Below are 26,608 nucleotides of genomic sequence, written 5' to 3'. Positions count from 1 at the left end.
CTGAATCTTACTCCAGTTTGAAGCCCTCTTAAAAATAATTCCAACTTTGTTCAGAAGTATTTATTTAAAACAGGAACAGAAAGATGCTTAAGCTTTTATTATCAAGTTTATCCACTTCCACCACTTCTACCAGAACCTTGGTGAGGCCTAGCCCAGCATCCCTCCACCTCCACTTCAGTCTGGCCCTGAGGCAGGCAAGGCCCAGACAGCCCTGGTCACAGCTGGGGAGAAGGGGAGCGGCCTTGCAAGGCTCTCTCAGTCCTCAGCAACCCACGTATCCCTCTGTACAAATGATGGCGTTCACCCTCCAGAATGTCTGTGCCCTTGAGCCCACCACCCATGGAAGAGTCTGTCTCTCAGGCCACCTCACCTCCTTCCTGGGTGGAAACAGTAAACGCTGGACTATGGGTTTCTCCGCCTACCATAGAGCCCTCCTTCCCCGCCATGACTCACCCCACCCTCAGGAGTTTTTTCCACCCTGCTGCTGTCCTGTGGCCCCAGGACAAGCTAGGTCCTCAGACTGCCACCACTACCCCCATCTAGCCCCTAAGGCTCAGGCCCCAACTCATGTTAAAGAGTGTTTGCATTCCTGTTCACTTGAGGACAGGTAAGAACTAGGCTGTCTGATCCCCAGTCCCGCCCCATCCCCCAAAGTAATGAGGCTCAGTGGCGGCTGTCCCATTACATAGGAGGGGTGCCAAGGCCCCCCTCACACCACAAACTTGTTCTTGGCTAGGGAGTTGCTCTTGGTGGCTGTGTCTGCATGGGCCTGGTACCCAATGATGGTCTTTGGGGAGAGGCCCAGGCGCTCTTTGTATACACGCCTGCAGGTGCGGGGGACACAGAGGAAAAGAGACACAGGTAGTCATCAGAGGGTCCTAGAGATAACTTAGGCCACCAGACTCCTACCCTCATTCTGGCCACAGCCACACCTGTTGTGTCTTACCCATGTGGAAACCCAAAATATGACCCCCTTAATGCAAAAGGAGAGCTGCACTGCCGTAAGAGAAAGTTAGAAATCTGAACGCCAGACCTTCCATACAGGTGGGCAAGGCAGAAGGGAGGGAGGCTATGGAGACTTTCAGAGGTCTCCCATGCAGGCCAAGCCCCCTCCACCCACCTTCCCTCTAGCAGAGACCCAAGTCCCCACCCTGTGCCAGAGACCCTCCTCACCCAACGTGCAGCACGCCCGCCTGGTTTTCCGCCTCCCTCGTCCACACAGCGATCTTGTCCCCCTTGGTGCGGATGTTGACGACGGCCCCACATACCTCTCTGCTGTGTTCCTCAAAGCTCTCCCCGATCAGACACAGCAGCTGGACCCGAAGTAGGGGGTTGTGAGATCACCGGCTGGGACATAGGGACTGGCCTGCCATCCTTGAGACCACTGCCACCATGAGACCCACACAGCCCGTCTCTTCCCCTGAGGACCCTCCTCCTCCAACTCACCGTCTCCAGCCACAGCCGGTCCAGCTCAATGTGGCGCTGCTGCTTGGCCAGGCTGACCAGCCAGCGGCCACCCCGTTTATTCCTGCTGTCCTCCCACATGGGCTGGATGCCATCCTGCAAGGCAGATGGCAAGTCAACTGCCTCCCTGTGTTCAAAGGGAAATGGGGACCCACCCACCATCCCGGCCTTATCCGCTCTCTGCTGAGGCCCTAAGTAGGCCAGATTCTCTTATCCTCCCTTCCCTCAGTGCAAGCAGGTTCCACCCCCAGCCACTCAGCTCCCCCCGACAGACAGCACTGGTCACCTTGTATAGCCTTGTATATGTGCATGTCTCTTTTACTGAGTTCCTTAAGACAAGCATTCAAATCGGGGTGGATTAAGGAAGCCTCAGGGGCAGACCCCAATGCAGGCAAGGGGGACATCCCAGGCTTGGCTGCATGGTTCCCAGGCAGGGCAGAAGTCACTGGGGAGATCTCTAAACACAATGTCAGCCCTCCAGGGATGGGTGTGGCATCAATGAGTGTCCTCAAGCAATTCTGATGCCCTTCCCTAGTTAAGGAGCCAGGTCAGAAATCTCTCCCTCTCCCTCTTCCCGCCTCTTAAGGTCCTCCAAGGTGCGGCTTGGGCCTGACCTACTCTGTCCGGGCTCCTGTAGAGCATTTCCTCCAGTCAGAAACCACAACTCTGCTGAGAGGTGGCCCGTAGCTCCCCACCCCCACCCCTCTGAGGGATTAACGCAGTGGAGTCCGGGAGGGATCAACCCCTTGTCCCTTTGCGGGAGGGAAAGAGGAGAGCAGAGCTTACCTTGAAGAGGGCGTAGTCACAGCCAGAGGAGAGCTTGCTGGCCAGCTGGATGTGACTGTATAGCCTGGACAGAGCCCCCGACCCCATGCCAAAAGTCAAGGCTTTTTAGGGCCTGGTTCCAACTGGGTTCAGCCCTCCCAACTCCTCATCCGACCCCATGGCCTCCAAGCCTTTGCTTACACTGGCCTGCCACCTGGGATTCCACTCCCGTTTATCCAAACTCTCAAGACCCACCTTTTCCACAGAGCCTTCCCAGTGAAGGCTGAGCCAACCCCTGGGGAGGGTTTTAGACCCCCTGGTGCTCCCCCCTCCAGCTACAGCCGAGGCCTTCTCACCCTCCCTAGGGCTTGTGTAGCCCTTTTCAGAGCCACTCCCGTGAGCACCCGGACACTGAGGCAGCCGAGTCCTCCCTTTGCAGCTGAGACAGGTTCAGAGAGGGGAAGGAACTTGCCCAGGTCACAAAGCCCTGGAGTGGCCGAGTCAAGGTCAGCTTCCTGCTTCTCCTGCTCCCCAGGCTCTCTCCCTGAGCCCAAAGAAGGTGGTGGGGTGGGGGGTGGTTGTGCCCTATACCCCCTGGGCAGAACCCACAAAGCCCCAGCCCTCACAAAGGCTGAAAGGCCCTAGGGAGGGCTGGCTCAACCCGGAGAGAGGGAGCCCAGAGCTCAGAGCCCCCCAACTCTAGCCCCACTGGGGACAGACACTCACGCCCAGAAGTCCTCCACAGTGTCCACCTTGGTGACCAGGTGCAGGTTGTCCTGCCAGGCCCGGCTGCGGTCATTCTTGAAGAACCACAGAGCCCACCTGGTAGGGGAAGGGGGAGGCAGCCAGGAGGAAGCAGAGAGCCAAGTCCACCCCCGGGGCACCTGGACTGACAGGGAGGACCCTCCCCTTCAAGGGCGAACTGGGAGATGAGATTTGGGGCACAGCATTCCCCTCTCAGGTGAATGAAATCAGTTGTCCTGAAGGGCAGGGGAGGAGTGGGGGTGTTTGACCCACAGTCTCTGCGGGGTTAGGGCTGGAAGGGCCAACAGGGCCCAAGGCTTAGGTCAGCCCTGGCCTCCCACGGATGAAGAGCTAGGGCCAAGAGAGGCGGGGTTGCCCAAGGCCACGCTGCCAGCACAGAGGCTGGCCTGAAAGCAAGGGGCTGTGTTCCACTCGCAGGCTCCTGCCTACCTGTTCTGCAAGGGGTGCAGCTCCAGCTTGACTTCCATGGGGCCCCCCGTCCGGGCCTTCCCTCTCAGAGACAGCAAAGTCCTGGGAGAGTTTGGAGACTTTTCTCCTGTGGGCGTCCTCTCTGCTGCCTCCTCCTCCTTCTCCTCCTCCTCCCACTCTCGGATTCCACCCTCAGCTTCACTCACCTGAGCCAAAAAAAGGAGTCAGGATGGGTTGTGAGCTCTGGCCCTGGCTGTCCCTGTGCCCACCCTGCCCATCCCCTGCTCCAGGAGGGGAAGGCAGGGGACTCACAAGGCCTTCAGTAGCCATGCCCAGCTCAAACTCCATGGAGGACCCAGCATCTGAAAAGCCCCCAGCTACCAGCTTTTAACCCACCAGCACCTGCCCCGCCCACCTGGGGCGGGGGGGGGGGGGGAGAGGGCGGGGCCATGGTGCACTGGGGGTAGAGAGGCCAGGCTGATTACCTCAACAGCAAGCATTTAGTGAGTGCCTTCTTCGTGCAGGCCTGGGGCTGGGGAAGCAGCTGTGACCAAGCCCCACACCATGGGGGCCAAGACCTGAAGGTAAGCGTCAATATTTGGAGCCTGCTCGAAGGGAAAGCAAGGTCTGCATCCCGTGGAGGGTGACCCCAGAATGTGAGGTGGACGGCCCTGCCGATGGCAGAAGCAGAGACACTGACATGGCCGTGGGGCCTTCTGGCACCATCCCCAACCTCACATCAGAGCAGGTATTCATCTGGTCTCTGGAAGCACCTGAGTTTTTTTGTTTGTTTGTTTTTAAATAAAATATTCTTTTGACTAGAGATGAAGGAATCTCACTATGTTGCCCAGGCAACTCCTGGGCTCAAGTGATCTCCCATTTCAGCCTCCCAAAGTGCTGGGATTACTGGCATGAGCCACCATACCCAGTGGCATCTGAGTTTTTTAAAAGTTTAATCATCTGCCAACATTTAGACATAGGGGGGTTTTATACTAAGATTCACACTTTTGGTTTCTCTTGAGGATTTGGAAAGTTCCTCCCCGACTCACTGCCTCACAGGCCCCCAGTCCCTTTGGAGACACATGAGGCTCCCCACAGCCCCCACCTTACCTCCTGCCCCACCTGAGTGTTCTCTGCCTGACCTGGATGGTGAGGGTCAGGGCTGCAGCCACACAGCCTGGGTTCTAGTCCTGATTCTACCCTGACCGCGGCCAGGCCTGAGCTTCATCGAGTCAGTTTCCCCATCTGTAAAATGAAAATGTTAATCATACACAACTCAGAAGCTTGTTGAGGGTATTAAATGATATAGAACACATAGAACCCGTAGAACAAGGCCTGGCTTGTGCTCAACAGAAGTCAGCTGAGGGTTCTCCCAGGTTGGGGAGGGTGGGGACTGGGATGGGGAAGGAAGGCAGGGAAGCTTTGGACACCCTTTATCGGCCTTCTGAACAACCCCTTTTCTGTGGAGGCTGAAGGCTCCCCAAGTCCTTTAAAGTTTTGCCTCCTCCCCTTGGGCACTTTTAGGGTCCCAGACGTATAAAAGGCCCTGCTCCTCCCCCACACTTGGGGGGCTCGTGACCATCTGGAGGCTGAGTATTTGCTCAACCCACAGCCTTAAGCCCTGGTACGTGCTAGGCACAGGGTTAGGTGCTGCTACGGTGATGAGCGAAAAACAAGCGGGCCCTGTGCTCAGGTTTATGAGATTATGCATCCCTCAGACAATCTGTGTCGTCACAAACACAACCCACTGAAGGAAAGGGATTCGGGGATGGGAGAACCTAAAAAGTCCACGATCCAAGCTGGGGCTTCAGAGCGGCAGTTCTTAGGTGCGTGTATCAGAATCACCTGCACGGCTTGCTCATCACACGCTGCTGGGCCCTGTCTCAGAACTTCTGACGCCTTAGTTCTGGGCTTGGGCTTGAGGATGTTTCCATTTTATTTATTTATTTATATTGTTTTCAGGCAAGGTCTCACTCCAGCTGCCCAGGCGGGAGTGCAGTGGTGCCATCTTGGCTCACTGCCGTCTTGACGTCTCAGCTCAGGTGATTCCCCCACCTCAGCCTCCCGAGTAGCTGGGACTACAGGCATGCACCACCACGCCCGGCTAGTTTTGTTTTGTTTTGTTTTATTTTGTAGAGGTAGGGTTTTGCCATGTTGCCCAGGCTGGTCTTGAATGTCTAGACTCAAGCAATCTGCCCACCTTGGCCTCCCAAGTGCTGGGATTACAGGCGTGACCCAAAGCGCCAGGCCCAGGATGTTTGTATTTCTAACAAGTTCCCAGATGCTGCTGGCCAGGGACCCCGTTTTAAGAACCACTGAGAAGAAGGTCACTGAGAGGTGGTATTTGAGCAAAGACCTAAAGCATAAACAAGAAATAATAGGAAATAATTAACTGGGTCGGGGAGGGCATCTCTGGGAGTGGGAACAGTATGTGCAAATGCCCTGGGGCAAAGGGAATGTGGAATACCAGAGGACGAGAAGACAGGCCAGTGTGGGCGAAGCTAAAAGGGGAAAGAAATGGGTAAGCCTGATCCTAGGGGCAGTGGGGAGCCACTGAGCATTTTGAGCATGTACAGACTGGCTGGGGAGGCAATCAGATATGCTTTTCAGCAGGTTCTCTGGATTGCTGTGTAGGAAACAGAACCCTGTGGCTGCAAGAAGGTGTGGGGAAACACTGACTAGGATGCTAATGTAGTCGTCCAGGTGACAGAGGGGGCGGCAGAGAAGATGGAGAGATGATAATAGACTCAAGGGGTATGTAGAAGGAAAACTCAGTGATATTTAGTGATAGATAGGCCCTGGAGGGGTGAAGCACTGTGTCCCACTTATCTATTGCTGCACAACAAACCACCCCAAACTCAGTGGCTTAAAACAATAATCATCATTTATTATGCTCACAAGCGTGCAATGTGGGTAGTGCTCAGTAGGACAGCCCAGCTCTCCTTCAAAGGGAGGTCAGCTAGGGTGGCTTACAGGTTGGGGCTGGAGTCATCTGCTCACTCACACGTGGGGCAGCTGATGCCAGCTGTCAGCTGGAGCCTCAGCTGGGGGTGCTGGCCAGGATGGCACTGCGTGGCCTCTCCATGTGGCTGCTTGGCTTCTTCCCGGCGTGGTGGCTGGGTTCCCAGAGCAAGCATCCCAAGAGACAGGAAGCAGAAGCTGCCAGTTTCTTAAGGCCTGGGCCTGAAACCTGGCACCACATCAGACCCACTCTATTCTACTAGAGTCACAGGCCCAGATTCAAGGGAGGGGACATACTGCCACCTCTCAGTGGGAGGAGCATTGAAGAAATTTGGACAGAGGGAGCACTGGAAGAGGACCAGGCTGGGAAGAGCTCACGAATCTAGATTTTGTTGTTGTTGTTTTGAGACAGTGTCTTGCTCTGTTGCCCAAGCTGGAGTGTAGTGGCATGACCATAGCTCACTGCAGCCTCAAACTCCTTGGCTCATTCTCCCTCCTCAGCCTCCCGAGAAACTGGGACTACAGGTGCACACCACCATGTCTGGCTAATTTTCAATTAAAAAAAAAATAGAGATGAGGTCTCAATATGTGGCCTAGACTGGTCTCAAATCAGCCTGGGAGGGTTCAAGTGATTCTCCTGCCTTTGCTTCCCAAAGTGTTGGGATTACGAGTGTGAGCCACTGTGCCGGCCAGGAATCTAGATCTGATGAAGAAAAAGGAAGGAAGGGCTCCCCCCAGTACCGGGCATGGTCTTAGCTACCTTACAGCTGTGGCCCAGAGCCCAGCTCGGAAGGACCCTCCCAGCCACAGCACCCCTTCCCACCACTTCCCACAGCTTCCAGCCTGGGGAAGCTCCTGGAGTCTTGGATTGAGGTGACTAAGGAGAGACCTTAAGAGCAACCCCCCTGGCGCTACAGGCATCCTGGCCCCTCGCTGAGGCCCTTCCAAGTCTGTCTATGGGGGACATCTTCATGCTGGGATTGAACCAGCAGGGGCTCTTAAATCCCAGCCCTACCATCCTGTTCCTAAAATATCTTGAATCTGCCCATTCCTCTCCCTCCCAACTCCCCTGACTCCAGAGAAGCTGGTTCTGACCTTGGCTGCTGTGTATTTCCTGACACTCCACTTGCTTCCACTCCTGCTTTCCTACAGAAAGTTCTCCAGGTTCCTCGGGGGGATCATTTAAAATATTAATCTGGTCACGTAACTTCTTTGTTTAAAACCCAGGCCAGCTGTGGTGGCTCATGCCTGTAATCCCAGCACTTTGGGAGGCCGAGGCCAGTGGATCACCTGAGGTCAGGAGTTCGAGAGTAGCCTGGCCAACATGGTAAAACCGTGTCTCTACTAAAAATAAAACAAACAAACAAACAACAACAGCAACAAAACTAGTTGGGCATGGTGGCAGGCACCTGTAATCCCAGCTACTTGGGAGGCTGAGGCAGGAGAATCACTTGAATTGGGGAGGTAGAGGTTGCAGTGAGCCGAGATCGCACCATTGCACTCCAGCCTGGGCAACAAGAGTGAAACTGCATTTAAACAAACAAACAAACAAACAAACAAACCTCCAGGACACCCAGGATGTGATCCAAAGTCCAGGTCCTGGGCTTGCAAGGTTCTTAGGCGATCCAGCCTCCCATGCCCTGAGCACATGGAGCCTCCAAAAGGCTAGATTTGTTCCTGCCTCAGGGCCTTTGCACTTGCAGTTTCCTCTGCAACTTTTTACAGAACTTCTCCTTGTCCTTCTGGGCTTGGCTCAAATGTCACCTTCTCAAAGAGGCCTTCCCTGACTGCTACCCTATCTACAGAAGAACACTCTCCCCCATGCCCTCTAACTCATCACTCTGTTCTATTTCCTTCTTAGCGCTTAACACTACTTATTCGTTTATTCATTCAACAAATAATGACCTACCAATTACTTTGTGCCGGACACCATTTTAGGCTCTGGGGAGCACAGCTGTGAACAAAATGGATGGTTTCTTCTCTTTGCATCAGAAGGCCCTAGGACTAAGCCCTGGGACCTCTTGTCTGTTCTGTCAGTACTTGCTGTTTCATGCCCTTATCCAGTAATGGGCATTAAATGTCATTTAGAGAGTGACATGCTTAGCCGCCACCAGAAATCCAGAAGAGCATATCCAACTGCCCGCCCGACAGCTCCATCTGGGTATCTACTATGCATCTCAGAGCTACCATGTCCAAAGATGAATTCCTGACACCTCCTCTGCCCCGCTCCAGACTTGTTCTTCCAACCGTCTTCTCCACCCTTCCAACTGCTCAGCCGAAAACGCTGGAATGGTCCTGGGGCTCTGTCCTTCTCACCTGTTAGCACATGCCATGACCAGTTCTCCCTTCAAAACATCCAGGACCCAACCACTTCTCTTGGTCTCCATTGCCACCATCCCAGCCCAAGTGACAGTCATCCTGCCTGTGTGATGGTGATGGCCTCTGAACTGGTCCTCAGCTTTCACCCTTGCCCAAGAATAGTCCCCTCCCTACTCCCTACACAGCAGCCGTTAAAATGAAATCTGGATCACTCCCTCCTCTGCTCACAGCGCAGGAGCCCACAAGGCCCTCCTCCCTCCAGCCCTCCTCTCCCTCCCTCTGCTGCAGCCACAGTGGCCTTCAGTCATGCAGATCTTCAGATGTGCCAGCCACCTCCTGCCTTAGGACTTCCAGAGGCTGTCCCCTCACTTCCTAACCTCTCTCAGGGTAGGCGATCCCTGCCCATCGTATGTGACTGTCCAACCCCCCTCAGCCCAGTGCAGCAATTCCTCTGCTTCTCCTCCCTCACTGCCCCCAGCATTTGTCACCTCCTGACGCACCATACATTTTACTGATTTATTTTACTCATCACTTGCCTTCCTCAAGGTCCCCAAGGCCTTTTTATTTTTGAGACGGAGTCTTGCTCTGTTGTCCAGGCTGGAGTACAGTGGCACGATCTCAGCCCACTGTAACCTCTGCCTCCTGGGTTCAAAGGATTCTCCTGCCTCAGCCTCCCAAGTAGCTGGAATTACAGGAGCACATCACCACACCTGGATGATTTTTGTGTTTTTAATAGAGACAGAGTTTCACCATGTTGGCCAGTCTGGTCTCGAACTCGTGACCGCAGGTGATCCGCCCACCTCGGCCTCCCAAAGTGCTGGGCTTACAGGGGTGAGCCACCACGCCCAGCCCCCAAGGCCTCTCTTGTTCACAGCTGTGTCCCCAGGGCCTACAACAGCGTCTGGCTTATGGGAAGTACTCAGAAGTCAGAGGGAGCAGGGAGGATTGGTCAATAGATTTAGCAAAGTGAGTGTCGCTGACGACTTTTACAAGAGCGGCACAGTGGAAGCGTCTTTTGTGGTTTCTAGTTGTGAATTGTCTGCCCCATCCCACTCGAATGCTGAGTTCCAGAGGGGCAAGGGCTTCATTGGTCTGATTTCCTGCTGCATCTCCTGTACCTGGAATGATATCGGCACCCAGTAGGCACTCAGGGAAAACTGATTGAAAAGAACAAAGGCCAGTGACTTTCCCTCTCTGGGTATCAATTCCCTTATCTGTAAAATGGGAATGAAAATGCCTGCTTTGAAGGATTGCCGTGAGGACGTCGTGACGTAATGGATGGAGTACTTGGCACATTGCAGATGTTCAGTAAATGTCCCCGGTTCCCCTCCCTGTTCTCAGCTTCCCGTCCTGCCTGCCCTGCAGGACTCTGAGGCCTCTGGACAGCAGGAATGCTGCTAAATGTTTAATCTGCCAGGCGCCACACACAGAGTTACAAAGGCACATCTGGATTTTTGCAGAACCCAGGCGGGGCTGGAATCCCCAGGATCCACTTAAGAGAACTCTCTGCTCCAGCTGCTCCAACGAGGATCTTCTCTAAAACCCTTTCCCACCTTTTGCCATGTTCCCTTCCCAGAAGCTTCCAGAGTCATCGTCCTTAGTACATTCCTAGGAAGGGGAGAGGAAGAAAAGAATGGAAAGGCCCATTTCCTGGGGAAAGAGAGAACAGAAACAGTGAGAGTTCCTGAGGCTCGCAGGTGGCCACTGGCCACTGGAGGCCCACGAGCCCGAGCTTTGCCACCCCATGCTCTAAAGGGTGGTAGGGGTATGTGGCGGGGGAAAGGATCCATCCTGCTAGAGAGTGGTGACCCAGTATCCGTGCCCCCTTCTGAGGGAAGCACATACGGAGCAAGAGAGAAAAATGTAGCAAATGCTAATAATTGGTGAATCTAGCTGGGAACGGTGGCTCATGCCTGTAATCCTAGCACTTTGGGAGGCTGAGGCGGGCAGATCACCTGAGGTCAGGAGTTCGAGACCAGCCTAGCCAACAAGGTGAAACCCCGTCTCTACTAAAAATACAAAAATTATCCGGGCATGGTGGCATGTGCCTGTGGTTCCAGCTACTCAGGAGGCTGAGGCAAGAGAATAGCTTGAACCCGGGAGGCAGAGGTTGCAGTGAGCCGAGATTACACCATTGTACTCAGGCCTGGGCAACAGAGCTAGACTCCGTCTCAAAAAAAAAGGAAAGAAAGAAAGAAAAAGACAGACAACTGGCAGATATTCTTTTTACCCTACCTCCCCTCTTCCTGCTGTCTGCATCAACATGATGGCAGGAGCTGCAGCAGCCATCTTGGGCCATGAGGATGAAATGCATGTACTAAGAATGGTGCATCAGAAAGGTAGGAGTCTGGGTTCCTGATGACTGTGAAGTCATCACACCACCTGTGGACTGCCCACCACTGGACTTGTTTAAGTGAAAGAATAAATGCCTGCTTTGCCTAAGCTTCTGTGCTAGCAGCCAAACGAACTTCCTGCCTGACTCAGAATTTAACCTATTTTCTGTTACCTCGACACTCTGGACTGTCCCACCTGCTAGATCCCTTGCTGGGAATGCTCACCACCACTTGTAAGGTCCTTCTCATCTTTCAAAACCCAGCTCGAATGTCACTTTCTCCTGGAGGCTGTCCCCTGCTGCCCCTTCCCTCTTTGCGCTCACTGCTATTCAGCTCCCCAGTCACCCACTTGCTGCCCATCCATCGCAGACTCTCCACTGCTGGTCTCCTTCGGCCTCCCTCTAGCATTTATCTCGTCGACCTCTATCCCCAAGGTCTTTGTGCACTCTCTTCAGCTTGTCCTTCTTTCTCACTGCCAGAGCCTTCTCAGTCTTTCTCCAGGTTCCTCTGCTTCTGGCCACCCCGAAGTTTGCAGCACCTCAGGAGTCTGTTCCGGGCACTCTCTTCTTTTCACTCTCCGTGCACCCCCGGACGATCACACTCAGCCCTATGGCTCCAGCCACCACCTCTATGCTAATGACTCCAAACCCAGTGGGGCACTGATCTCACTTGGCTCACAAGAACAATTGTTAAAACTTCAGGAATCTGGCTGGGCGTGGTGGCTCATGCCTGTAATCCCAGCACTTTGGGAGGCTGAGGTGGGCGGATCATGAGGTCAGGAGATCGAGACCAGCCTGGCCAACATGGTGAAACCCTGTCTCTACTAAAAATACAAAAATTAGCCAGGTGTGGTGGCGGGTGCCTGTAATCCCAGCTACTCAGGAGGCTGAGGCAGGAGAATCCTTTGAACCCAGGAGGCAGAGGTTGCAGTGAGCCGACATCACGCCACTGCACTCTAGCCTGGGCATCACAGCAAGACTCTGTCTCGAAAAAAAAAAAAAGAAAAAAAAAAAAACTTCAGGAATTGTGTGAGCCAGTTGTTAAAGCCATTACATTGTTAAAAATTAAATTATATAAAGTTATAGTTACATTATGTTTAAAAAACATAGATAATACTCAAAACACATAACTTCCTAGTTATTTTACTATTATCTGTGCTCTTAAGGTTATTTTTATCTACGTTATCTGTCTCATGAAAATTCTAGATAACTGAACCAATTTTCTGTTCAATGACATCACACTGACAGCTTGGAATCAACTGTGGTGGGAGTATTTTACCCCAAGGACATTGGCAAACCACAAATCTAGGTGTTCCTTCCTGCCTACCCTTTTCCCGCCCCAACCTTGGAGAGCCATTTGTGCCATTTGTTAAAGAATTCTGAGTACACCGTGGCTCAAATCTGCATCTGAAGCCAGCCTGGAGTGCTTTCCTGAGCTCTGGGCTCAGATACCCTAGTGTCTGCTGGACACCTCCTCCAGCTTGTCTGTCATTCCCCCAGACAAGCTCATCATCATCCCCCCACCAAGCTGCTCCACCCCCTCAATGCCTATTTCATTTTGCAGCAACATCACTCACCCCATTGTCCAAACCAGAAACCTGGGAATCTTCCTCAACTTGTCCTTCTCCGTCTCCCATAACACCTAATAAGTTACTCCCAAGTGATGTTCACGTCTCTCCTTCCAGCCCTGCTCCAGCGTCACCCGGGCTTCTGTAGTTCAGGCGTCCTTGTCCCTCCTCTGGAGTCTGCCCCAGCCTCCTACTGATCTTTCTACAGCCAGCCTTATCCTCCTCCAACCCATCTCCGTTTGGCCCCATAAAATGCAAATCTCATTAGGTCTCTTGTGCTTAAAATCCTTCAGTGACTTCTTGTTTCCTGTGATCTGAAGTTCAGACACGCTTCATTTCATCTTCTTTCTCTCTTCCTCCTTCTCCCCGCTCCTCCATCCTCCTTCATCTTTCTTTATCTTGTACTCTGGCATCAGGAGTTCTTAATCCCAAGCCACAGAAATCACTTCTGGGTGATTTAAGCAAATAAGGAGTTTATTAAATACTGGGCAGCTCATGGGCCAGGTACAATAGCTCATACCTGTAATCCCAGCACTTTGGTAGGCTGAGGTGGGAGGATCATTTGAGGCCAGGAGTTCGAGACCAGCCTGGGCCACCTAGTGAGACCCTGTCTCAACAAAAAATAAATAAGTAAATCACAAACAAATACCCTGTCTCTACGAAAAATAAATAAGTAAATCACAAACAAATAATAAATATTTTTTAAATTAGCCTGGCATGGTGGCACGCACCTGTAGTCTCATCTACTGAAAGGGCTGAGATGAGAGAATCACTTGAGACCAGGAGTTCGAGGCTGCAGTAAGCTATGATTGACTGTGCCACTGCACTCCAGCCTGGGTGATACAGTGAAACCTTATCTCTTAAAACAAACAAACAAACAAACAAACAAACAAAAAAAACACTGGACAGCTCAAATAATCTCCAGGATAGCTAGAAAATCCACGCTGGAGACCACACAGCCTGAAATGATGCCCCAAATCCCACTACCAGGCAGACCTATGAAGAATCCCGATGCCATGGCTGGGCATGGACAGTGCAGCTTGTCCTGTTGGTGTTGGACACTCCCACAGTGAGTGTCACTGCTGCCAATGGTCCTTGGCAGGAGCTGCCACCACCACTTTTCCACACCAGAACACACCCCTCCCCCACCCCGCCCTCTGCTTCCCTGCTGCTTCCTGGGACTAGCTTCAGGTCCCAAGTCTGGAGCTGCACCTGTCAGTCACATGTCCTGGCTGCAAGGAAGACTGAGAAAGCAATTATCTGGCATAGTCATCTCTCAGAGGGGAAGGTGGGTTCTGCCTCAGAAGGTGGGGGACCCCTCTAAACATGGGAAGGGGGCAATTTTAATGCTGAGAGACCAAAAATAACTGCAGGTACCCTCCATGCTAGTTCTTAAAATAACACAAGTAAAATACTATCCAAGGGAAAATAATCAAACAGCACCAGTAAGGAAGGCAATGGAATGTGAAACTTCCTTCCCTGAACCCTCTCAGTCCCGTTTCCTAGGTGCAACTCCCTTTAACAGTTTTCTCAGAAATTATTACAGAGGTGTGGCCAGGTGAGGTGGCTCATGCCTATAATCCCAGCACTTTGGGAGGCCTAGGTGGGCCGATCACTTGTGGTCAGGAGTTCGAGACCAGCCTGGCCAACATGGTGAAAACCTGTCTCTACTAAAAATACAAAAATTAGCTGGGCGTGGTGGCACATGCCTGTAATCCCAGCTACTTGGGAGGCTGAGGCAGGAGAATTGCTTGAACCCTGGAGGTGGAGGTTGCAGTGACCCAAGATTGCACCACTGCACTCCAGCCTGGGTGACAGAGGGAGACTCCATCTCAAAAAAACAAGAAAGAAAAAAGAATTGTATATCTAGCCATAAATATGTGTATGTTTGTATATAAGGTGTCTGTGTATAATGTATATAGTATGTGATAAGTATGTATATGTTAGTATATAATATATATTTGACACATAGAAAATTATAAGTACTTATACATAAAATATAATTCCCTTTGTATCAAAATTGGCTCATTCCACACATTCCAGTTTGGCACCTTGCTTCTCACACTTACCACCACATCTTGGCACACTCCCATGTCAGCACACATGGGTCTAGCTCATCTTTGCCAACCATAGTGTGGCATTGCACTGGGTGGATGTGCCACAGTTAGCTAGCCAGTCCTGTACAGATGATCATTTAGATCATTTTCAGTTTTTTGCTACAAAAAAACATGCTACAGTGAACATCCTTGCACAGGTATCTTTGTGTGCATGTATGGCTAGAGTCGCACGGGATCAATTCCTGGAAGGGGAGCTGTTGGCTCCAAAGGCGCATGCATTTATGCTTGGTAAACATTGCCAGATTGCCTTCCAAAATGTCTGCGCCAATTTGCAGTTCTACCAGCGGCCTGTGAATGTTTTTTGTTTGGTTGGTTGGGTTTTTTCCTTTTTTTTTTTTTTTGCAGTCTGGCTGCTGGTGGCCCCCTCGCCTAATTACCTGTCACTTACACACCCTGCATTTCTGGCCACAGTGCCTTTGCCCATGCTGTACCCACAGCCTAAAATTCTCTTTCTCCCTAGCCTGCTCGATGAAATAGTCCCCTTCCTGTCAGGCCACAGTTCAGTTGTCACCTCTTTTTTATGTCCTTTCCTGACTCCCCTAAGTTGTCAGAGTCCCTTTCCTCTGGGATACTACAGCTTCTTGGGCATAATTCTATCATAGAACCAACTGAGGGCCTACTGTGTGCCTGGCATTCTGTGATCATTTTGACAGTCCCCACCGTAAGCACACAAAAAAGTGGTTTTGTTCTCCACCTCCCTCCATCCTGGCTCTCCAGCTGCGCTGTCTTTTGTCAGCACAGTCCTGCCTTGGAGCCTTTGCACTTGCACTCTCTATGGATCTTGTCCTCACCCATCGTGGTGTCATGGTGCCTCTCTGGAGTCTCTGCTACAATTCACCTGCTGGTAGAGGCCTTCCCTGAGCACCCTGTCTCAAGCACCCCTCCTCTAGTCCCCGTGTTACATCACCGTTACCTTCACAACTTACAAGCTGTAATGACCTTGTTGCTTTGGATGTTGATCCGTTTATTTTCTGTCCTGTCTTCCACCACTGAGCGCACGAACACACACGCGTACAGACACCCCCATGGTAAGCTTCCCGAGACCAGGAACCTTGTTTTCCTTTTCCGCTGCCTCCAGCCTTAAACCTGCACCACTGGACTAAGCGCTCAGTAAACATTCGTTGAATTAACCATTCCTGTTTTACAGAGGAGGAAACTGTCATTCAGAAAGGAGAGCCGAGTAGCTCAAGGTCCCACGGTTAATAAAAAGCACAGCTGAGATTCGAGCCCAGCAGAACTCCAAATCCAGTCGCGTGATTTCTTCCCCACTCTTCACACGCCGCGTTGTCCCCCTCCCTCAACTCCCAACAGACTACGCGAGTCTTACGGCCGGGGCCCCCAGGGGCGCGTCCCGGGCCCGCCCCGGGAGGCTCATCGGCTACGCGCTGTCACCCTCCCCGCCCCCTGTCAGTCAGGCCGAAGGGGCGGCGCGGCCGCCAGCGGGGGCGCTGAGCTCAGAGCTGCCGCAGCGCCGGAGCCGGAGCCGGAGCCGGAGCGCGCGAGCTCGCAGGGCGCGAGGAACGAGCGGTGGCTGGCTACGCACCCGAGACCCGGGCACTGCTGCGCTCCTGCTCAGGACCCGCGACCCGAGCGCCTGATCCCGGCCCTATCCCCCCTCCGGCCCCTGGTCCACCCCGGCCTGGCCTAGCGGAGCCCCCGCGTCCGCCCGCCGCAGCCGCCGCTCCATCCCCAGCCCCGGCCCCGCATCCAGGTGAGGCGGCCGCGCGCCGGGGATGGGGAACGGGATGAGGATGGAGAGGGGACTGGGGCGACAGGAGGGAGCTGGGGAAGGGGATGGAAAATGGAGGGAGACCCGGGGGATGCGCGTCAGTGTGCACCCCGGAGTATGTGAGTATGCTCCGGTGTTTGCAGCTGCCCGGGCGGCTGTGGGGACGTGTGTCCGCGCCCATGTGGGTCGGGGTATTCGTGCGCGTTGGAGCGTCTGCGTGTCCTGTGTGTGCACGTGAGCTTGTCCGTGGTGTATGTTTGTGTGCATGACCGTGTGACTGTGCCGTGCGTGTACAGGCGGGTCCTGGATATTCGCGCCGAACCCAGCACTCCGGTTCGACGGGGCTGCAGTTTGCAGGGCCCGGATAACCGAGGCAGTGGCCCCTCCCGCGTCCCCAGGTTTCAAGGACGCTAGGACTCTCCGCGGCCCTGAGGCTTCGCACTGGGGAGTGGGGTGGGATGGGGGGAAAGCGGGAGGGGGCTCAGGGTCCAGAAGGGCGCCGCGGTCTCGGGAGTAGGGGGGCATCTGCGTCCCGCGGGAGGGGCTGGGGTGAGAGTGCGGGGCCAGTGCACCGGTGCCCGTGTATCGCCCTCCCCAGGCCGCCAGGATGGACGTGTTCATGAAGGGCCTGTCCATGGCCAAGGAGGGCGTTGTGGCAGCCGCGGAGAAAACCAAGCAGGGGGTCACCGAGGCGGCGGAGAAGACCAAGGAGGGCGTCCTCTACGTCGGTGGGTAAGGGGCGGGGTTTCTGGGGCTGCAGGGCTGGGGGTCCCCCGACAGTGTGGAGCTGGGGCCGGGTCCCGGGGAGGGGGGTTCTGGGCAGGAGAATATGAGTCAGCAGATGGGGCGAGGTCAGCAGGGGTCATAGGGGACATAGCCAGCCCATAGAAGCCTGGGTCTGTATCCGGAAATGGGGACACGGGGCGGGCTGATGAGGTGGGGGGCTCCAGCTGAAAGGCCAGGGACCAGTGCAGTGATGAAAGCAGACAGCCTCCTTTTTCTTATCTTTTTTACCATTATTAATAGTTATCTGGTGTTGAACACTTTCTGTATGCCAAGTACTGGGTAAAATGTCATAACATCCATTTCCTCATGTAATGCTTCGGCCCATTCTACAGGTAAGGGAAACTGGGCTTCCCAGAGATCTAAGTACCTTGCCCAAGGTCAGCAGCTGGTAAATGCTGAAGCTGGGGTTTGAACGGAGCTTTATAGATTCTGAAGCCCCACCCCTCCCCTTGTGGCGCCTCCCTCCAGCACCTCCAAGGCCGAGTTGAGTTGCGTTCCAGGTCCACCTGCATCACAACTCTTGTGGTTTTACCTTTGCCAGCTCTCTTCCCCGTCCACTTTCCTTGCAACCACTGGCTGGTATCAGAAGAAAGGCCAGGGTTGGATAACTTGCCCAGGGTCGTGGCATATTTGGATTGTGGCCATTTGAAAAATATTTTGTGTCCACTTACTATGTGCCAGGCATCCTGCAGATGCTGGGGTTTCACAGTGAACAGGAAAGAATGGTTCCTGATCTCCTGATGGTGATACAGAGCATTTCAGCAGTGCGAGTTGACATCCAGTGGCTCCCTGAAGAGAATGCCTCATCCCTGAGTAATAAGAGGGGGGCAGGGCTGCAGAAAAGCCAGGTGCAAAGGCCCTGGGGTGAGCTGGGGGCAGGGCAGGAAGTAGTGGTAGGAGGTGAGGTCAGAGCGATGGGCAGGAGACAGTTCACGAGGGCCCTTTGCAGGCCAGGGCAAAACGTTGTTATCATGGCCACGAGAGACTGTAAGCAAGGGACTGCCATGATGTGATTAGTTTAGAACGGTCACTTGGGCCTCTGGGGACAGAAAAACTGCAGGGAGGCCTGATGAGGCCACAGGATGAGGGTGGCAGGGGCGAGGGTGGTGGCAATGGAGACCGGGAGAAGGCTAAAGTGCATGGCTGCTTGATCCCAGCTCTGGCCTCCCTCCTGCCTCCTCCCCAGGGTCTTTCATTCCTGCTGGCCTCTGGCTCTCTGACACTCTCTCTCTGATAATAGACTTGGCCCCTCCAAGCCATGCTGCTCTTCCCCTTAGATTGGCACTTCCTGCTCCTGCCTCTGCCTGGGAGCCCCTGATGGACCCCAGTTCCTACAAGTTAAAGCCTCGGCTCCCTGTACCCTGGCATTCAGTGCCCTTCATGGTCCTGCCTCAGTCTACATTTCCCACCACACCCATGGCTCCTGGCACATGGACTGTCCTGAAAGCACATTGCTCTGCCTTGTCTGTGTGGGTCCCTGGGCCTGGGATACCCTCTGCAGTCTCCTTTCTGATGTCCATCTGTTCCCCATTTCTCAAGGCCTAGGCAGTGTCCCTTCCCTCCTCACATAGTCAGTCCTTGGAGGCTGGAAGTCCTCTCCCCACTACTTGAGGTCCAGGAACTGAATCTGTTCTTCTCTTACCCACTTCAGACAGTGAGCGATTGGCCCAGGGCCTGGCACAGAGTAGGTGGAAGCTGATGTTTTGTGGGAGGAGTGAAAGGGGAGCATGCAGCCTGCCCCTCCTGTCTCTGGGTGCTGGTTGGCCTTCGCCCTGAGAACCCTGTCTTCCCACACCAGCCTCTTCCCCCACCCCCCCGCCGGGCTCAGTCTGCCTAGACACCCAGTTCTGGCTCCATCACTGTTGTCTGTGTTGCCAAATTGTCAGACGGGATACTCCCCACCCCGTTTCCGTCTCTCATCCTCCAGCCCAGATCAGGCCCTCTGGCCTTCCCAGCGGCCCCCAGACATTTTGAAGTTATCAAGTTGCTACCCTCCGAGGAAGGCCCAGCCAATGCCACGGGTGCCAGTTACAATCTGCACATCACCTTTAGACCCACCCTGAGCCTGACACCCCCTACTTTGGCCAGAAGAAGGGGTTTGCACCCTCGCTAGGAGAAGAGAATCTTTAGAGGAAATGGAGTGGGGCAGTGGGCTATGGGCAGTGGTGCATGGGGCACGAGGGGAACCTTTCAAAATACATGGCTTTGTGGCCTCCCAGCTCCACCCCTACTCCCACCCCCACCTGCCTCCTATCCTGGGCTACGTGCTGTGAGAGTGGTTGGTAGCTAAAGTTTTAGGGTCAGAAAGGCCTGAACTTGAATGTCAGTTCAGCCACTTCCTAGTGGTGGAACCCACACTGAGCTTCCATCCGTGAAACGGGGACAATAACAGCACCCGCCTCCCAGGGCTGGGGAAAAGTGAAGTGCAGCGGGGCAGGCAGAGGACTTGACACAGCACTGGCCCTCAGCCAACATCCACTAGAGGGGTGGGGTATCGCATCAGGTGGGAGAGAACTGCAACCCTTGCAGACAGAGGTGTGGGGCCCAGTGCAGTGATAAGACGGGGGTTAACATGGGGGTGCAGGTTGTAGGATGTGGGGACCCAAGGAGGCAGTGACGGGGCCAGGATGCCCACTCTGTAATCACCATGCTGTGCTGGAGTTTCTGTTCCCTCAGCGCAGAGTCCTTAAATGTGCCGCTTTTTCTCCCTGCAGGAAGCAAGACCCGAGAAGGTGTGGTACAAGGTGTGGCTTCAGGTACTAGCCCAGCCCTGGCACCAGCCCTTCTCTCACTTAGGCGGATGATCTGGCCGGGAACCAGAGGGCGGGGGCGGGGGAGACTCCCAAGGCTTCTGCGGGAATGCTCCGTGGGGAGGGCAGGCCCTGGGATACTACAAGGCAGGGCATCGGTGTTTCCCCCTGGCTCCCAAACCCCTTCCTCAACCCCCTCCCTGCTCCAGTGGCTGAAAAAACCAAGGAACAGGCCTCACATCTGGGAGGAGCTGTGTTCTCTGGGGCAGGGAACATCGCAGCAGCCACAGGACTGGTGAAGAGGGAGGAATTCCCTACTGATCTGAAGGTAAGCGATCCTTCTGACCCGCACATGCAGGCAAACACACACACACACACACACACACACACCAGGCACACAAATAAACCTGTCACCATCCCCGCCCCCCTAATCCTGCCACCAGCTTGGAACACAAGCCACTTTGCCTCCCATCCTGCAGGCCCGTGCTAGACTCAGCTCAGAATGCATCTGAATAAAGGCGTGCATGGGTGTGACGCTCCCGGTGATGGGGACCCAGACCTGGCTGTCTGCGTGTATCCTGCTTGCCAGCGTGACCCAGATGACTTCTGGCCACGTCTGCATGTGTCAATGATTGTTCATTCATTTCTTTTCATTCAACAAATATCCATGCCAGAGAGGAATTGTTGTAGAGGCTGCCGCAGTGAATAGGTTCCTACGTTCCTGCAGCTGACATTGTAGTGGGAGAAGATAGTAAAACGCAAGCCAGCAGGCAGGATGCTTTCCGCGGGGATAAGTGCTACAGAGAAAAGACAGAGAGGGCGATGGGACAGACAGGCAAGGGGTGAGAGGGCTATTTTGGCTGGGAAGACTTCTCTGAGGAAGAACCATTTGAGCTGACACCCAAGGGATGAGAGAGGCAGCCTTGAGATGTGTGGGAAGCGAATTTCAGGCTGTAGGAACAGCAAGTACCAAGGCCCTGAGGCAGGTTGGAGCAGGTGGGAGCTGTGCTGGGGTGGGTGTGATCTGTGCAGTTGTGTTTCCCCAGGGGAGCCCTGGGAACCACTCATGTGTGCATGGAGACAGATCCCCCTACTAGGACCCCCTGATAAGAGGGGGTTAAGAGTTGTGAGCTCTGAACCCACCTACCCCCAGCCTCAGCTGGGTTTGAATCCTAACTCCACTACTTCCTGGCTGTGTGACCCTGGGCAGTTCCCACCATGTCTCTGAACTTGATAGTTCACTTGTAAAATGCGAGTGAACACAATAGGAATCTCATGCAGATTGGAGATAATATAGATATTCTCAAAGCTTGAGTGTGTATCAATCACCAAGAGGCCAGGTTAAAATACAGATTTTTGGCCCCATCGTTAGAATTTCTGATTCAGTAGGTCTGAGGTGGGGCTGGAGGATTTGCATTTCTAACAAGTACCCGGGTGAGGTTGATGCCGCAGTTCCAGGGAGCATACTATGAGAACCATGGATATAAAGAGCTGGGTTTGCATACAGTGAATGCCCTGCAAGAGATTGTGGCCACATGATCACTCAAGCAGTCTGGGTCTGCCTGCAGGGGATCCTGTGACCACAGGCGTGCCTGGAAGTGGATCCCCCATGACATGTGTGTGCAGGCATTCGCTGTGAATGCTCTGTGTCTGTCCATGGACGCGTGCAGACCCTGCCTCCATGGGGATGGGGGCTCCTTCTGCAGCGTCTGGTTTGGGTGATCAGTGTACGTTCAGCATGAGTGCATCCACCAGGCTGTGGGAGACCCCACGCTGCCCTCCACTCCTGTCATTTTGCACAGTTGGTTCCTTCCACTGTTGGAAGTCAGGATCTTGACTCAGAAGTTCTAGTTCAAGCCCTGTCTCTGCATTTTACTATCTGTATGACTTCCCATTTGTTTTTTTTTGTTTTTTTTTTTTTTTGAGACGGAGTTTTGCTCTTGTTGCCCAGGCTGGAGTGCAATGGCACGATCTTGGCTCACTGCAACCTCTGCCTCCTGGATTCTAGCAATTCTCCTGCCTCAGCCTCCCAAGTTGCTGGAATTACAGGCACCCGCTACCACACCCGGCTAATTTTTTGTATTTTTAGTAGAGACGGGGTTTCACCATGTTGGCCAGGCTGGTCTCGAACTCCTGACCTCAGGTGATCCACCTGCCTCGGCCTCCCAGAGTGCTGGGATTACAGGCATGAGCCACTGCACCCGGCCATGACTTCCCATTTCTTATAATCATGTTACCAATAATCACTTCCATTCATTGATCTCTTTCATGAGCAGGCACTGTCCTAGATGTTTGACTCTAGATGAACTAACTCATTGACTCTTCCCAATGTGGCACCATAACCAGCCCGTTTTACAGATGAAGAGACTGAGGTTTAGAGAAGTGAAGTCACTTGCCCAAGACCCCATTTCCTGCCTGCCTCCCTTATAAGGTGGTCAGGAGGATAAGCTCAGGCCATGTCACTGGGGTCGCTTGGTGATGGCACAGGGCCAGTCCTAGTGCTGCGAGCTGGGGTGCAAAAGAGAGGCAGGTTCAGCCTGTCAGCCCCAGGCTGTGATGGGTGTTTGCACAGAACCATTTCTCTCTGGTCACCTTTCTCCTACTGGTGCTTGTTGACGCCTCAAGGCTACCCTCCCAAGGGAGCCCAAGATCATAGAGTTATAACACAGACAACAGCCCCTTGGGCCACCAGCGGCATGGGGGACTCATGCAGGCCCATGGTCTGCATTTCTGAGACTCTCTGCTTCGAGCATGCTTTCCATCCATCATCACGGAATCCTCACCAGCCTCGTTTCCCATGCAAGGCTGCTGAGATTAGAAGCAAAATGACTTGCCTGATGCCAGGTAGCTACCAGGTGGCCAGGCTGGGGTTGTTTGTTTGTTTTCTGAGATGGGGTCCTGCTATGTTGCCCAGGCTGATCTGGAACTCCTGGGCTCAAGCAATCCTCCTGCCTCAGCCCTCCAAGTATCTGGGATTACAGGCTATGGGTATTTTTTTAAGTGAACTTTTTATTGAAGTACAATGTACATGTGGAAAACTGGCAGCTCCATGAAATGTTCACAAAGGGAACTCCCCTTGTAACCAGTAGCCAGCTCGAGACAGAACACTACCCCCCAGGACCCCACCTTGTGACCCCTTCCAGTTCCTATCCCCAGGGCCAGGACTAGGGGGAGACAAAAGAGGTGTCTGGGGCACTCACTCATGGAGTCTCACTTGCATGGCCAGGAGACGGAGGCCAGGCCTCCCTAACATCTACACTCCAGGAGCCTCACCCACCTCCCCTCAGTCCTGGCCCTGCCTATCGCCCTCCAAGGGGAACTGCTTTCTGACTTTTTTTTTAGACGGAGTCTCGCCCTGTTGCCCAGGCTGGAGTGCAGTGCCACAATCTCAGCTCACTGAAACCTTCACCTCCTGGGTTCAAGCAATGCTCTTGCCTCAGCCTCCTGAGTAACTGAGACTACAGGCGTGCACCACCATGCCCAGCTAATTTTTGTATATTTAGTAGAGATGGGTTTCACCATGTTGGCCAGGCTAGTCTCAAACTCCTGACCTCAAGTGATCTGCCCACCTTGACCTCCCAAAATGCTGGGAGTGGTAACGGGCGTGAGCCACTATGCCTGGCCTTGCTTCCTGGCTTCTATCAGCACAACACTAGTTGGGTGTTTTTTGACTTCTTGTAAATGTTATCATGAGGCTGGGCACAGTGGCTCATGCCTGTAATCCCAGGCATGAGGCCGAGGTGGGCAGATCACCTGAGGTCAGGAGTTTGAGAACAGCCTGACCAACATGGCGAAACCCCATCTCTACTAAAAATACAAAAATTAGCCAGATGCAGTGGCACATGCCTGTAATCCCAGCTACTTGGGAAGCTGAGGCAGGAGAATCGCTGGAACCCAGGAGGCTGAGGTTGCGGTGAGCCGAGATCACACCACTGCGCACCAGCCTGGGCCACAGAGTGAGACTGTCTCAAAAAAAAAAAAAAAAAAAAAAAAGTCATCATGAAGGCCATGCTCTTCTGTTCTGTATCTGGCTTCCTCCATTCATCAGGAAGCTTGTGAGACTCAGCCCTGCTCTTGTATGCATTGTTGTTCTTCATTCTTGTTATGTAGTATTCCATTGTGTCGTTAGGTCACAAGGCACACATCCATTCTACTGATGTTGGACATTTGGGTTGTTTCCAAACAATGTGCTCAAGCTGGCTTGTTTTGTTTTGTTTTGTTTTGTTTTGTTTTGTTGAGATGGAGTCTCACTCTGTTACCTAGGCTGGAGTGCAGTGGCGTGATCTTGGCTCACTGCAAACTCCGCCTCCCGGGTTCAAGCGATTCTCCTGCCTCAGCCTCCCAAGTAGCTGGGACTAGAGGCACGCACCACAGTGCCCAGCTATCAAGCTGGCATTTTTAGCACTACATTCCATCCCTGGGTTCTGGTCATAGCTGGGTGACTTGGGGGCAAACTAACATTTCCCCACCTCCTGGGCCTTGGCATACGCATCTGTGCAGTGGGGAAATGAGCCAGGTCAGGAGCTGGAAACTCATGTGCCCACAGGGCCCACTTAGACAGGTAATGTGAAGGAGCTGACGCTGCCTGGATGGAGCTGGGACACCCAGGGTGCAGACGTGGTCAGGGCAGGCTTTCCCCAGCACCAATGCTCCGGGATCCCAGGCGTGTGCCAGCCCCACATGAGGCACTGCACAGGCTGTGCATGGATCCTAAGCTATCGCGTGTGCTTGTGTGTGCAGCCAGCTCAGTCCCATGTTTGTTCACATACATGTGGTCACCTGCAGGTGGCTGGCCATGTGTCTGGCAGCCCGCCCACATGCATGCCCGCTGGTCTGCGCCTGTCTGGGCAGCAGACGCAGCGGGTGGGGGGGAGAGTCTTAGCTCACACATCCAAGCAACACCACGAGCTGTGGCTTCCAGCTTATCTTAAAATAGCAACAGCTGAAGAAACGAGGCCACACAGGGCCCGGGGGAGGGATGAGTGGAAGGTGGCGGGGGAATGGCTCAGAGCCCCTGCCCAGCCCTGTCCCTGAGCCTCCAGCTCCCTTCAGCCCAGGGGAGCCTGAGGGTTATCTCTGGGGTCCCGATGCCCAGCACAGAGCCTGACACAAAGGATGAGGCATAAGCTGGTGACTGAGTATCCAAATGGTGGAAGTGTGGAGGCTGCCAGGCATTGGGGGAGCGGCGTGGAGAGCCAGCTCCCACTCCATGCTGCCACTTCAACTGTGATTCGGGGGAATTTCCCCCTTCACCTCCATCCCACTTCCAAGGCACTCCAAATAAATAACTGAATTAGAAATTATCCTTGCTCTGCCAACCCACCCTAGCCTTCCCCACTCCAACCCACCCAAAGCTTACCACTGTGGGAATTTGGGGGGCATCCTGGCTGTCCTCACGAGTCCTGACCTTTTCTGCCCACAGCCAGAGGAAGTGGCCCAGGAAGCTGCTGAAGAACCACTGATTGAGCCCCTGATGGAGCCAGAAGGGGAGAGTTATGAGGACCCACCCCAGGTGAGGGGGCAGCAGGGCTGGGCGGGACTTTGGGAATCCAGGATGATTGCTGCCGTCCCTAGCTGGGGTGGGACATCCCTGGCATGAGATGGTTGGGCCAGGGAGCTTGACATCCCTCTTCTAGAACCCAGGCCCCAGGAGGTGGGAGCAGGGAGGAGAGGGCAGATAGGGTCTAGCGCTGGGCCCCAGGCACACCTGCCCAAGAATTCTCTGTTGTCCCCAACTTCCAGGCTCCTCCCCTGCCCAGGAAAAGGGGAATGTGCTATTCCTCCTTCAGGGAGAGGGTTCTTGGGCCGGGGCTTGGCCACTTGGTCTCAAACTCCTCCTCCTTTTTGCTCTTCTCTACTCCACCCCCATCCCGGTGATGCAGGAGGAATATCAGGAGTATGAGCCAGAGGCGTAGGGGCCCAGGAGAGCCCCCACCAGCAGCACAATTCTGTCCCTGTCCCTGCCCCGCCCCCCAGAGCCAGGGCTGTCCTTAGACTCCTTCTCCCCAATCACGAGATCTTCCTTCCGCTCTGAGGCAACCCCCTCGGAGCCTGTGTTAGTGTCTGTCCATCTGTCTGTCCTACCCGCCCGCGTCCAACCCCGGGGCATGGACAGGGCCAGGGTTGCGGTCGCGGCTGGGAGCCTCGCCCCTCCAGTGTTGCCTCCTCCCATCCAGCGTCTGCGCGGATGTAGCATGTTCTATGTGTTTTTAAACGAAGATCCGAGCGACGGCTCCTCCCCGATCCCCGACAGTGGCTCTCCAAGCGGCCCCCGGGCAGCCCCAGAGCACCCCGCCCGACTCCCATTAACCTCGAGAACCTTTTTTTTTTTAACCAAAACCAGGAGCCAGGCTGTGCCATGTCCCCCGCCCCCCATCCCAGCCGGCCCGGTCCGAACGCGGGCGTCGTGTGTTGTGATTGTGGCATGGAGAGTCCCCATCCCCCCCATGTGAGCGTGTCCCGGGCGGGTGGGCCCGGCCGCCCCCGAGAGTCCATGAATAAAGCTAATCTGTCTGTAGCCAGAGCCGCACCGGCAGGGCTGGGCTGGGCGCCGGGTGGGGGCGACACGTGGCGGCGAGTCTTCCAGGTCCCAGCCTACCCCTCTGTGCTCTTTGGGGTCTGGCACACACAGCCCAGGTACAAGA

The 26,608-nt window shown here is 54.2% G+C and overlaps 2 protein-coding genes and 1 non-coding gene across 13 annotated transcripts, besides 5 other annotated features; 2 read left to right on the top strand and 1 right to left on the bottom strand.

The window, feature by feature from the left end:
• EIF4E1B (eukaryotic translation initiation factor 4E family member 1B) lies at positions 46-16,015 on the bottom strand. 2 transcript variants are annotated; one of them, NM_001375362.1, is made up of 9 exons: positions 15,626-16,015; positions 4,513-4,647; positions 3,888-3,980; positions 3,424-3,608; positions 2,956-3,051; positions 2,251-2,314; positions 1,447-1,560; positions 1,174-1,313; positions 46-824 (listed from the first exon to the last, which is right to left on the bottom strand). In NM_001375362.1, the coding sequence occupies exons 3-9, from the start codon at positions 3,900-3,902 to the stop codon at positions 710-712; spliced, it is 729 nt and encodes a 242-aa protein (NP_001362291.1). In that variant the 5' UTR covers positions 3,903-3,980; positions 4,513-4,647; positions 15,626-16,015; the 3' UTR covers positions 46-709. The 2 variants fall into 2 exon arrangements, with proteins under 2 accessions (NP_001362291.1, NP_001092878.1); NM_001099408.2 differs by having other exon boundaries at positions 4,525-4,647.
• Positions 308-602: an enhancer, noted in NCBI's record as "tiled region #4950; HepG2 Activating non-DNase unmatched - State 10:DNaseD, and K562 Activating DNase matched - State 8:EnhW". NCBI's record gives its function as "activates a minimal TATA promoter and a strong SV40 promoter by Sharpr-MPRA in HepG2 and K562 cells {active_cell/tissue: HepG2 | K562}" and the evidence as "EXISTENCE:reporter gene assay evidence [ECO:0000049][PMID:27701403]".
• Positions 873-1,383: an enhancer, noted in NCBI's record as "H3K4me1 hESC enhancer chr5:176072308-176072818 (GRCh37/hg19 assembly coordinates)". NCBI's record gives its function as "activates a minimal SCP1, AML or CMV promoter by ChIP-STARR-seq in primed H9 embryonic stem cells {active_cell/tissue: H9 hESC(primed)}" and the evidence as "EXISTENCE:reporter gene assay evidence [ECO:0000049][PMID:30033119]".
• Positions 1,965-2,604: an enhancer, noted in NCBI's record as "H3K4me1 hESC enhancer chr5:176071087-176071726 (GRCh37/hg19 assembly coordinates)". NCBI's record gives its function as "activates a minimal SCP1, AML or CMV promoter by ChIP-STARR-seq in naive H9 embryonic stem cells {active_cell/tissue: H9 hESC(naive)}" and the evidence as "EXISTENCE:reporter gene assay evidence [ECO:0000049][PMID:30033119]".
• Positions 2,605-3,246: an enhancer, noted in NCBI's record as "H3K4me1 hESC enhancer chr5:176070445-176071086 (GRCh37/hg19 assembly coordinates)". NCBI's record gives its function as "activates a minimal SCP1, AML or CMV promoter by ChIP-STARR-seq in naive H9 embryonic stem cells {active_cell/tissue: H9 hESC(naive)}" and the evidence as "EXISTENCE:reporter gene assay evidence [ECO:0000049][PMID:30033119]".
• Positions 15,975-16,244: a silencer, noted in NCBI's record as "silent region_16663". NCBI's record gives its function as "represses an Ori minimal core promoter by ATAC-STARR-seq in GM12878 lymphoblastoid cells {active_cell/tissue: GM12878}" and the evidence as "EXISTENCE:reporter gene assay evidence [ECO:0000049][PMID:35858748]".
• SNCB (synuclein beta) lies at positions 16,156-26,608 on the top strand. Of its 10 annotated transcripts, none has more exons than NM_001363140.2 (7): positions 16,156-16,410; positions 16,827-16,881; positions 17,027-17,156; positions 19,929-19,970; positions 20,174-20,292; positions 25,387-25,476; positions 25,847-26,608. In NM_001363140.2, the coding sequence occupies exons 3-7, from the start codon at positions 17,036-17,038 to the stop codon at positions 25,877-25,879; spliced, it is 405 nt and encodes a 134-aa protein (NP_001350069.1). In that variant the 5' UTR covers positions 16,156-16,410; positions 16,827-16,881; positions 17,027-17,035; the 3' UTR covers positions 25,880-26,608. The 10 variants fall into 10 exon arrangements, with proteins under 10 accessions (NP_001350069.1, NP_001001502.1, NP_003076.1 ...); NM_001001502.3 differs by having other exon boundaries at positions 16,725-16,881; NM_003085.5 differs by lacking the exon at positions 16,827-16,881.
• On the top strand, positions 17,190-17,251 carry MIR4281 (microRNA 4281). The gene has a single exon (NR_036239.1). It is a non-coding gene; the product is annotated as a microRNA 4281 (primary transcript).

This window comes from Homo sapiens, chromosome 5 (assembly GCF_000001405.40).
Source record: "Homo sapiens chromosome 5, GRCh38.p14 Primary Assembly".
In the NCBI taxonomy this organism is placed as follows: Eukaryota; Metazoa; Chordata; class Mammalia; order Primates; family Hominidae; genus Homo; species Homo sapiens.
Note: the sequence above shows the minus strand (reverse complement) of the source record. Positions and strands in the feature narration are given on the sequence as shown.